Raw genomic sequence first — 12,277 nt, forward strand, 5'->3', positions numbered from 1 at the left:
TTATTTGCCAAGATTCTTCACAATCCAGTTCCAACTATCTTCCCAGCTGCATTTTTGCTCCTCACACTGTCTAACTCAACCATCAAGAATTAGCTCAAAAGGTACCTCTTCCAAAACCCAACCCTGACCTTTCCAACCAGAAAGAATCTCTTTTTTTCCCCTCAAGTACTGGGGCCCTTTCTATGAACTTTTCCTCCAGGGCATTCATTTGTCACTTTCTACTTCAGACTCATCTATTTATAGCTACCGCTTATTAAGGCCATACTACATATCCCAATGTTGTGCTAGACCCTTGCATCTATTTCTTCTGAACAAAATAGCAACTCTCAAAATAGCAATGGAATTAATCCCATTTAGTTGACAAAACTGATGCTACCAAGTTGCAAGAGGAAATTCAAGGACAAGGATAAATTTCAAAGCTCATGTTTTTCTATGATGCCTGTTGTCTTCCATGGCCTTGTTTATGGTCCTTGACTTACGATCTGATTGGACTCTTGAATCCTTTTTTAGTAGATTCAGTCTGATTTATCTTTGGTATCCCTCACAGACCCAGCACAGAACTATGCATAGAAGATGCTCAATGCTTGTTAAGCAAATAATTGGCTTCTTTTGACCTCTATGGGTCTCAGGTCCTCAGCTATAAAATTGGTAGTATCAAAGAGCTGGTCATATACTGTGTAGAGATCGACTTATTTGTAAATGTTTCCAGAACACTTATGTGCCAGGCACTGTTCTAAGCATCTCATCTATCGATCCTCATAAAAAGCCTCCAAGAAGTATGACTATTAAGCCCATTTTATACTTTAGAAAACTAAGTTTTTAAGCAGGGTGGCAAAACTTGAACCCAGGCAGACTGTGTCCAGAACCCACATTCTCAACCAATATGCACTACTGCCTACATAAATTTGGAGCCCAGGAAAATCAACTGAAAAACCATTAGAAATGGCAATAGACTCAAAACATGGTTGGTACCAGAATTAATATGTAAAAATAATATATAATATACATAGCAAGTATATATACACATGTACTATATATATGCATTACATATCCATATCTGTATCTATATTATCTATATTATAATGACTGCTTTCATGTACATGATCACCAATGAACTAAGGGAGTAAAAGATCCCAGTCAAAAGGGAAAAAAATAAGCAACTCAAATATCTAGAAATAAATTTCAGAAATATGCAGAATATACACACATACTACAAAATTCTACCAAAGGGTAATTAAAAAGTCATTAATAAACAGAAAAATAATGCTTAGGTGGAAAGACTTGGTAATAGAGCTCCCTTTCTCCATAATTAATCTCTATATTTAACATCTGAATTTAATTTACTTCGAGGGAGTGTCACAGTTCAACAACTAGGCACTTTAATATAAATTGGTGCAATCTTTGGAGGAAATGTTGGGGTGTTGGGGCAGTATCTATAAAAATTTTATAAGTGCATCCCCTTTGACATAACGATCCTACTTCTAGGAATCTACTCTGCAGAAATGCCAACACATGCTACCAAAGATGGATAAGAAATGTTGAGTGCTGTTTTGTATGCAGTAGGAAGAAAAAGAGAAAGAGGGGCAGAGGAACAAAGGGAGAAAGGGAAGAAAGGAAGGAAGGAAGAAAAAGGAAAGAAGACAGAAAGAGAGAAGGAGAGAGTGAGGAAGAGGGTGGGAGGGTGGAAGGAAGAAAGGAAGAACTGCAGGCAAATGAAATGCCTAGCAAAGGGAACAGATTTTTAGAGAATCATAAAAGGGTATGCTGTGGAAATGTTAAGAAGAGAAAGGTTTAAATATGTTGACATAAAAGAAATCTTAGCTAGGTTTGTGCTTTGGACTGAATGTTTGTCCTCCTCCTGCCCAGCCAAAATTCGTGTTATAAATCCTAATCTCCAATATGATGGTATTTGGAGATGGGGTCTTTGGAAGGTAATCAGGTCATAAGGGTGCAGACCTCAGTAATGCATGTTCTTTATTAGTGTCCTTATAAGAAAAGACAGGAGAGATCACTTCTCTTCTCTGCTTTCTCACATGTAAACCGGAAAGAGAGCCCTCACCAAAACTTGACCATGCTGGCACCCTGATCTGGAACTTCCAGCTTTCAGAATTTTGAGAGATAAATGTGTCTGTTGTTTAAGCCACCTAGTCTTTGAGAATGTGTTACAGCAGCTCAAGTAGACTAAGACCAGAAGGGAGAAATGCAAACTATATCAGTGCAAATTACAGAAAAATGTACAGAGATATGACCATTTTATTTTTAATGTGGAGTATAATTTAGTGAAGGAGAAAAGAAGGGTATGGGGATGGCAATTTCCTGTTTTGATATCTACACTTCTGCAAAGATCATTACTTTTATAATCATAATTAAGCATTTGATTCAACACTGAGTCTTGTGTTAGACACTGGGAAGGTGAACATGACAGTCAGGGCACCTGTTAAGTCCATTTTTAAATTTGTGATTTAAGTTGCTATAGCTATAATAAATTAAATGATGTATATATATATCTGTTTGTGGATTTTGGCATCTATCTCTCTCTGCATTGTGGTGCCAGGGCCATGTTATTTTCATTATGAAAGCTTTATAACAGGTTTTAATATCTGACTAGGCAAATTCTCTCTCATTACCCAGGATGATAATTTTCTAGGCCTTTAAAAATTAATTTTATTGAGGTGCAGTTTACATACAGTACAATGCACCACTTAAATATATATATATTTCGATGAGTTTTGTCAAATTTATACGCCCATATAACCATCAAAATAAAAAATTGACCAAAGTATCCAAAAGATCATTTGGAATTAGAACTAGTAAAAATTAACAGAAAATACTCGCTATAGTGCAACACGTGACAAAGAATTACTACTTCAATGTGTAATACACATAAAGTGTTTAAAAGTCAGGAGGAGAAAGATACTCCAACTGAAAAATGGGCAGAAGAATTAACAATCAACTCACCTACAGAAATGCAAAAGGCTACTACACAGAGGAAAAAGTGTTAATTCCCATGGGTAATCAAAGACATGCAAATTAAGACAAGATACCATTTTTTGGTCCACGCTTTTGATTTAAAACTTCAAATGTGTATACATAGAGAAAATTTTAAGATATGCAGAAAATCTAAACCATCTAGAAGTTGAAGTTTTAAGTTATTTTTATTTTGCTTCTCCTTTGGATTTTTGTTTACTGGATGTTTTCTAATATGTGTATCCTTACAACATTCTAATAATTCTAATAATGTTGATTTTCTCTTCTCACCTCATAAAGTACCTAGTGCAGTGCATTCTAGAAATTCACCCCTAAAAAAAAAAGCTATTTCCCCTATAGAAGGAGAAACACACACATGCACGCGCACACACACCCGCATGTGTTGCTAATGGTCCGCATGGTGAGATCATCATTGGAGCCGCCCTGCGGTCCCCCGGAGAGAGCCTGGGCCGAGCAGAGGATGCGGGTCACAACGACCCTGCAGGAGCTCACGCCCCAAGACACCGCGAGCGCAGTGCGACACTAGCGACGCCGGAGCCAAGGGCCAGAAAGAGGGCGAGACACACCCAGGTGGATCTAATTAACCCTCCCTCTTGGAAAAAGAATGGGGGACGATGTCCAGGGCCCTGGATCTAGTGTCTGTCGCTGACCTTGGGCAGTCCCTGCCACGCTTGAGCCTCAGTTTCCCACCCGTAGGCCGAGCTGACCGTCTCCATCGCTGCGCTCCTTCCCTTCTGCTGGTTTTTCCTGGTCCTGGGAGGGACGCCTTCCTCTGCCCAGTCGCCCTCCCCCAGCCCTTGGCTGCGAGGTCGCCCGCAGAAACCCAACACTGCTGCCGCGCTCTCGGCGCGCCCGGCGAACCTAAGGTGTGGACGCGCCGCGAGGGTCCCCTGCTTGCGGGCGGCCATTAGGCGCCAGGCCCCTTGGCGCTTCGGCCCTGCTAGGCTCGGCGAGGGTCTTACCCAGACTGGCACGCGCCCCGCTCGCGTCCTTCTATTGACCTGTCAGCGCAGCTGGCGCAGGCAAGGGCCAGGGAGGCGCCCCCGAGACACTCAACCATCCCCGCACTGATGCGGGCCCCTGCTGCCCTGGGGACCCCTGCGGGGTCCTCGCAATCCTCCGGCAGGAAGCGGTCGGAGCTGCGGGCAGGGCCGCTAGGCAACCCGCCTGCCCGAGGCGCACTGCCCGGGGCACAGGCCCTCTGCGATGACTCTCCCCAACCCCCAGCTGCCCTGCTTGTGCCAGCTGTGGCCACCCCTAATCCTTGTCCCCTCGCTCTAGTGTCCAGGGCTCCGACCACCGCGCCAGAAGGGCTGGGCAGATCGTGCGCAACAGAAACCTACCCGGTTGGGGCGACCAGCTCGGTCCCCTGCGCGCGCCGAGGGCCGCCTCTGGTATTGCCCAGGCTGGCTAGCTCATCCCGGTGGAGGCGCCATCTCCGGGGCCCGGAAGGAGCGGGCGCAGCGCGGTTTGGGTGTGCGCCGGAGCCTCACCTCCTCCCGCCTCGCAGCTCAGGCGCAGGGCTCCCCTTGCTCAGGCGGGCCATGTGACCCGCGAGCTGCGGAGAGACCGCGGCCCCCAAAGCGGCTTGGGGAAAAAGGACGGCAAAAGGCGCCAACTGATGGGCAGCCAGGGAAAAGCAGGAGTCGCCCCCAAGTCACGCAAACAGGAAGCCTGTTTCTTTTGTGAGGGGACTAGAAGCCAGCATTATATTTCATCAGGTGTGTACATAGAGACTTATTCACACCAATGGAACGATATCTCTCAATGCGTGTAAACGCTTCATGAGAAAGCTGTTACTTTGGGTCTTGAATGTTTTTCAGTCTTCCCCAAACCCTCAATTTAAACACAAACGGCCACGAGAGACATAACGCCTGAGGTATGAGAAAGTATGCACATTGATTGAGAACAATCCCGGCAAAGCAAATAGGAAAAAGATACGGAATGATCCGAGGGAGGAAAAATGTGGGGGTCAAAAGAAAAGTAACAGCCTCCTACATTCCACCTTGGACTTTCCCTTCTGAATGGGTTTTCAGCACACAATTGTACGGCCTTACTCAGTGCTTCTAATCCTAGGTTTGCCTGTCTAGGCCACAGGTTAGCAACTACAGTTTGCTGCCTGTTCTTGTACAGCCCACAAGCTAAGAATGTTTTTTGCAATATTTCATGGTTAAAAATGGAAGAATATTTCAGGGCTACGAAAATTATATGAATTCAAAATTTGATGATCGTAAACAAAGTTTTACTGCAACATAGTCATCATTTACATATTGTCTATGGCTGCTACCATGAAAGAACAGCAGAGTTGGATAGTTGTGACAGAGACCTTATGACCCACAAAACCTAAAATATTTACTGCCTGATTTGCCAACACCTGCTCTAAAAGGTCTGTTCAGTGGTCACAAGATAAAGCATTAAAGCCAGTAAATGCTCATATGATTTCTTCTTGTGTAAGTAAAATTGATACTAGATATTAACTTCCTTTAGAACCTTACAAACACCCACCTGAGCCCCCATTCATCATCTACTCTTTCAGCCAGCATTTACTGAAGAATGGTTCTGACATACTGCCATCACTATAGATGACAATGAAGTAAGAATGAGGTGTGGATCCTTCACTCAAGGAATTTGTCATTAGGAATGCTGGAAAACCTATATCTGAGGCTGGAAAGTATGAGAGCTGGATATAGCACAGAAAGGGAGCTTGGGAAGGTAGTTTCATTTCCTGGGAGAAAAAATGGGAGTCTGATATTCCGAAATTGGAGGATTGTAACCAACACAAGTTGAATTCAGTTCACTGTCATTGGCTCAGTGCTGGGGTCTAATCTATTTACTGGCTATGACAAATTAACTCCTCTGTGCCTCAATGTTCTCATCTATATATTGGGGACAGTGATATTTCCCTCATAGGTTTGTTGAGAGGTTTACATGAGATAATGTATATAAAGTGCTTAGCATTCTACCTGTCAAAATATCTAGCTTTCTATAAATGGTTGGTAGTTATTCACTTGTTTAACAAAAATTCATTGAGTACCTATTATGATGTTCCAGGCAATGTCTGTGCTGTCCAATCTCATGGTCACTAGTCACATGTAACTACTTACATTTTAATTAATTAAAATTAAATAAAATGTAATAATCAGTCCCTCAGTAGCACTAGCCACATTTGAAATGCTCAGTACCTACATGTGGTTAGTGCTACTGTATTAGATAGTACAGCTATAGAACATCCCATCATCACAGAAAGTTCTATGAGATAGTGCTTTTCTAGAGAGTAAGGATTCAGCTATGAACAAAACCAAGTCTCTGCCTTTAGGGAGCTTACATTTGGGTGGACAATAGATAATAAGCAAATAAATGCATACTATATCAGGTATTGATAAATATTTTAAATAGTAAGATCAAACACTTCCCTAGTACTTTCTATGGCTGTTACTGTCCTGAGTGCTTTTTACTAACTCTTAATCACTCCAACAACCCCATGAGACAGGTAAGCTAAGTAACTTACCCAAACTGCTAGAAAGAGGAAAAGCCAAAATCCAAACTGATGAAATCCGGCTTCAGAGTCCATTCTCTTAATCAACATGCTATATTTCTTCTCAAAGCAAAGCAAAAATAGAAAAAAAAGAAGAATAATAAAATAAGAGGTTAGACACTAGTAGTGGGTACTATTACAATTATTATAGTAAACATCTTAACCTCTATGCAAGTAGGGTATTTCATTGGTTAGGCTTTGGCCAGAAATAACACACTACAACAGGATAATGAAAAAAATCTATTTTCAAAGGTGTGGGTGAAATTAAAGAAAACCAATAAGGCATAGTGCAGTGCATACCCTAGGGCTTGATACCAAGGAACTATTACTTATCCTAGGCCTGATGAGCAAAGTAAGGAAACAGTGATTAAAACAACAAAAGAATAATTGTAAAAAGGGAGACATCCTATGGGACCTGTCACTAATGGAATGAGGCAGTGAACCTATGGTGACCCATCAGGGAAAGAGCCAGGAGAATAAATAGCATAACTCTACTTTCTTCTGCCATCTTATCTCCTGCTAGTGTCTCCCATTGGCTGAACCCAACCAGAAATCAGAGGGCAAGAGAGCCCTTGATGCAATCCATGTAGCTCAAATTCCCAGGACACAGAGCTGACTGGATGACCAGGAGGCATAAACAGAAGATATCCAGTAAAGTCTTCTTACTCTGAACATCTTCTCTTGTACTTTGTTCATATAAAAATTGAACAAACCTTTTGGGACACATAAAAAAAGTTCCAGTAACTATGGTGTCATAATAGAGTAATTGAATTTGAACATATACCTGAGACATAAAATATTAATCGTTACTATTACCCTTCCTAATGGGAAGAGTGGGGATGGAGGACAAACAATACGAAACATAACTGTTAGAATCCCTACTTCTATGGTTGGTCATGAAATTTAAGTTGAGAATCATAGCTTTCTTCTTCCACTACCCATTGCACATTCCCCTTTCTGCCAGCACTTCACTGTATAAGGCTCTTTACAGAGGCCTCCTACAAGGCTCTTTGTAAAGGCTCTTTACAAACTTTTTTATTTTATTTTATTTTTTTACTTTATTTTTTGAGACACAGTCTCAGTCTGTCGCCGAGGCTGGAGTGCAGTGATGCAATCTCAGCTCACTGCAACCTTCACTTCCCAAGTTCCAGCAATTCTCATGCCTCAGCCTCCCGAGTAGCTGGGATTACAGGCACATACCACCATGCCCAGCTAATTTTTGTATTTTTAGTAGAGCTGGGGTTTCACCATTTTGGCCAGGCTGGTCTCAAACTCCTGACCTGAAGTGATCTGCCCGCCTCAGCCTCCCAAAGTGCTGGGATTACAGGCGTGAGCCACTGCGCTCAGCCCAAACCTTTGATCCTACAAGATTTAGGTTCTTGGTGCATCTCTTGTTACTGAGTTCCTTCAGTTTTCCACTGATCAGGACTATTGGATATGTGTGTACTCACATGGACTTGTTAATGAACTTCTAGGTTCTAGATATAGTCCTCCTTGATTTGATTGTATAGCAGCAACTAATTTCCCATTGGTATTGTAATCAATTACTTAAGGCTATATAGTGGTGCCTTTCTTTTCTTGTTCCAGTTTCCAGCTCAATAGGCTGTGAATTCCCTGGTGGAAGTACTTCTTCTTTGGATATGAGAGTTTCCAAACCTGCTAAGTTTGTGGGGCTTGGAAGAAAAAAATATCTCTGTAGTAAGTTTTTTGCTGTAATAGTGAGAAGAATATATCTTTGCTTCCTGGATGTCTGAATTCTCGCTATCGGCAAATTATGCCACACGTTGGCTATTGGTTTAAGGAACGTGCTGCATTCTTGAGGATAGCACCTCAACTTCTCATGGTGCTGTCTCACAGCTGGTGTCATAACTGAGCCTTCAGAAGACCATTACACCATTTAATAATACCAGCTTCTTCTGTTTGATGGGATCCATGGTAAGACCACTGAATTCCAAAGATATTAGTTAATTGTCATACTTCCTTTGCTGTAAAATGGGTCCCCTGGGCAAAAGTAATATGTGGTAGAGCAAGGCAATGGTACGCTTATTCTGTAAGTTCATGAATAGTGGTATTAGCAGAAGTGCTGTGGCCTAGGAAAGAAAATTGGTACCCAGAAATCTCTACAGAAGACAAATGGTTATTCCCCCCCGATAATAGATGTGCAGTATAACCAACCTGGCACCAGCTAGCTGGTTGGTTCTTCTGGGAAATAAAGCCATATCACAGAACCAGCATTTGATCATTGCTGTTGACAGTTTGAGCACTTAACATGAACGGTAGCAAAATCAGCACATTATTGAAATTGATCAGTACAATTATTGAAATCATTCAGAATCTGTCCCGACTGACATGGCCATTTTGTACATAGGCCCATTAAACAAGCACTACTTGACTAAAGAAGCTGATTCACATCTACCAGACAGGTCATATTGACTACCTGATTCAGATCAAAATATTTTCAATTTTTCCTTGTAATTTATTCTTTATGCATGTTATTCAGACATGTATTTTTAAATTTTCAAATATTTGGGGCTTCTCTAGGTATTTTTATTGATTTCTAATTTTATTCTTTTAATATATATAAAATACATTAACTATATGTATAAACTCAAAGAATATATATTAAATATTAAAGGATATATAAATATTTTTAAAGAATGAAATCTTAAAGGATATATATATATATATATATATATATATATATATATTCTTTTAAAATCTGTTGGGACAATTTTTTAGTGGCCCAGAATATAGCCTGTCTTGGGGAATATTTCATATGCACTTAAAAAGATGATGCATTCTGCAATTGTTGGGGGTAGTGTTCTTTAATCATGAGCTAAGATCTGTGTAGGAAATAGTGTCATTTACATCTTCTTCTGTACTGATTTTTTTCAGTTCTATCAATTATAGGAAAAGTCTGTTAAACACATAATTGTGAATTTGTCTATTTCTCTTTTTAGTTGTATAAGTTTTTGTTTCATATGTTTTTTGCTTTGGCACATATACGTTTATGATTGTGATATCTTTTATCATTATGAAATAACTGTTTCTGGCAGTAATTTTTTTTTTTTGAGACGGAGTCTCGCTCTGTTGCCCAGGCTGGAGTGCAGTGGCACGATCTCGGCTCACTGCAACCTCTGCCTCCCGGGTTCAAGCGATTCTCCTGCCTCAGCCTCCTGAGTAGCTGGGACTAAGGCGCATACCACCATGCTCAGCTAATTTTTTGTATTTTTAGTAGAGACCAGGTTTCACTGTGTTAGCCAGGATGGTCTTGATATCCTGACCTCGTGATCCGCCCGCCCGGCAGTAATTTTTGTCTTAAAGTCTCTGATACTAACATAGCATCTCTAGCATTCCCATGCTTCTTTTTCTTTGCACATCTAATAAATTTGGTTAAGACTGGACATTGTAATGTATTGTAGCAACTCTGAATTCTGTTACATTTTCCTGAAGATTGTTGGGTTTTTTTTCTAGTAGGCAGTTTGACTTGCCTGGTCTCAAATTTCAGTTTTCAAACCATATGTCTCCTGTAGCTGCTACTATCTCTGTTGGTTTTTCTTTCTTCCCTCAGCTTCTGATTTTTTAGACTGTCCCCCTAAGTATCTTTCCTGTGACTGAGTAGATTAGTCATTAGTCAAGCATTTGGGGAGAAATTATGTTCAGATTCTGGGCTTATTCTCTCTGTCTTTTTGCTTCAGGAGTTTTCTCCCTAAACTCCCCCTTAAACTGCTCTTCCAGTTTTAAGCTGACCTCTGATACCTCAAGCAAGTAAGGCTTCTGCTTTCTGCTGCCTGAGCTGTCCACATTTAGTTTTAAAAAATAGTCAACTTAAGGCTGGGCACAGTGGCTCACACCTGTAATCCCAGCACTTTGGGAGGCCGAGGCGGGCGGATCACGAGATCAAGAGATCGAGACCATCCTGGCCAACATGGTGAAAACCCGTCTCTACTAAAAATACAAAAAATTAGCCGGGTGTGGTGGCAGGCGCTCGTAGTCCCAGCTACTCGGGAGGCTGAGGCAGGAGAATCACTTGAACCTGGGAGGCGGAGGTTGCAGTGAGCCAAGATTGTGCCACCGCACTCCAGCCTGGTGACAGAGCGAGACTCCATCTCAAAAAAAAAAAAAAAAATAGTAAACTTATAAATCTCACTAAGTGCAGTCTTATCTTTCAAAGGTAGACTCTCTTCTGATTTTTCTCTGCCTTTTATTTGTTGGCCTCCCTTGGATGTTATCCACAGGTGAGTAGTTTAGCAGTCAGCCATGGATTTGGGCAGAGTTTATACTCAGATTGATCATTACGCATTCTATGCATGCAACAAAATATCATGTGTACTCCATGAATATGTAAAATATTTTTTTTCAGTTTAACTAATAGATACTAAATGATTTCTTAGGTTAGGTTTTGTGAAATTACCAGCAGAAGCCATTGATTGTGAAATTTTAATTAAACTATGATCTTGCCAAGTGAAAAAGGTAGCATTAAGGGGACATAAGTTTCATTATGATATGGAATCTTATTTAATGTCTTGGTCAAAGCTGTTTACAGCATGAAAACATTAGCTTTTCTTTTTGATTTGTACTTTGAATGTCTCTGGTCATGACGTTAGCAGTTTGGTGAACTTTTGTACAGTCCATATCTTAGGCATGAGGCTTGTTTCTTAAAATCCATTTAGTTTTAGTTTATAGAGCTTTAGGAATAAGGCAGTTTTTGTTGGAGAGTTGTAGCCAAATATTGGGGGAGATTAGGAGAATGTAGGATCTAGTTCGGTCTATAGGTATATAACAAGATCTTGAAAACAATGTACAGGGATATAATCTAGTAACAGGTGTATCATAGGGTTTTTTTAAAGAAATATAATTTTATTTTTTAAAATATTGATCGTATAAGAATTTTAGATTTAAAAACTGTTTGAGGCTTGGAAGCCAAACAAAGGCCAACTTTAGATTTTATTTATAGTCTTAAGTTCTTGAGCCTGACAGGAAGTGACAATTTTTATTTACTCATTTTAAGGCTGAGAATTCTTGAAGATAGGCATTTTATGTACATTTAAAAATATGACATTTTAGTTAAAGCCTTGTTAATATAACCAAAGTTTTAAAGCATATTTTGTTTATAAAGAGAGAGCAGATTTTAATTGAAATTATGTAAATAAAAATAAAAATATTTATGAATGGTTTTTACATTTTTGGAGAATCAACTAGGGAGAAAAAGTAAATGTTTTCATCTTTGTTTACAAAAGTATACTTTCCCAAGTTCTCATAAACTACAGATAGGTTATGAGAGAAAATTTTCTTAAATCTGGAGATAAAAACATTTAAGTAAAGAGCCAACAATGCTTTAAATAAAAGTCATAAGAACATTATTCGTATCAATTATTCAATTTCATGAAATTAAATTTTTGTTTTGTTTAATCCTGATTAGTAGTTTTGTAAGTCCATTAGTTTTGTATTAGAGTTATGGAAATTTTCATTTAGTTCATTGATTTAAAACTTATCAGAAATCTGTGTGAGTACTTATTAGAATTCATTGCTTTTCCATGAAAAGCAATTTTAGACTATAGCTGATTGCAAAAACTTTTAAAGGACTCAAAGCAATAACTGTGGATAACAAGGACTCAGAATAGCCATGGTCAAAATCTGATGAAAGTTTTCAGTTGACAAGGAAACTAGTTATTTTTACTGTATGTAGCATTTTAAGATAACCAGAATCAGGACTGACAGCATTACACCAGGACCATTAGACTTTTATAAATT

General features: G+C 39.8%; 1 protein-coding gene across 5 annotated transcripts in view; it reads right to left on the minus strand.

Moving 5' to 3' along the window:
* Positions 1 to 12,277, minus strand: part of PGAP4 (post-GPI attachment to proteins GalNAc transferase 4) — a 60,517-nt gene that overhangs the window by 9,448 nt on the left and 38,792 nt on the right. For 2 of the 5 annotated variants that reach the window (NM_032342.3, NM_001303107.2), the window contains exon 1: positions 4,332 to 4,556. The gene's annotated coding sequence lies outside the window, so the exon portion shown is untranslated. Of the gene's footprint in view, positions 1 to 3,638; positions 3,852 to 3,950; positions 4,154 to 4,331; positions 4,557 to 6,496; positions 6,584 to 12,277 lie in introns of those variants that run through there. The other 3 variants (XM_024447701.2, NM_001303108.2, NM_001371233.1) reach the window with 3 other exon arrangements.

Source organism: Homo sapiens, chromosome 9 (genome assembly GCF_000001405.40).
Source record: "Homo sapiens chromosome 9, GRCh38.p14 Primary Assembly".
Taxonomy (NCBI): Eukaryota; Metazoa; Chordata; class Mammalia; order Primates; family Hominidae; genus Homo; species Homo sapiens.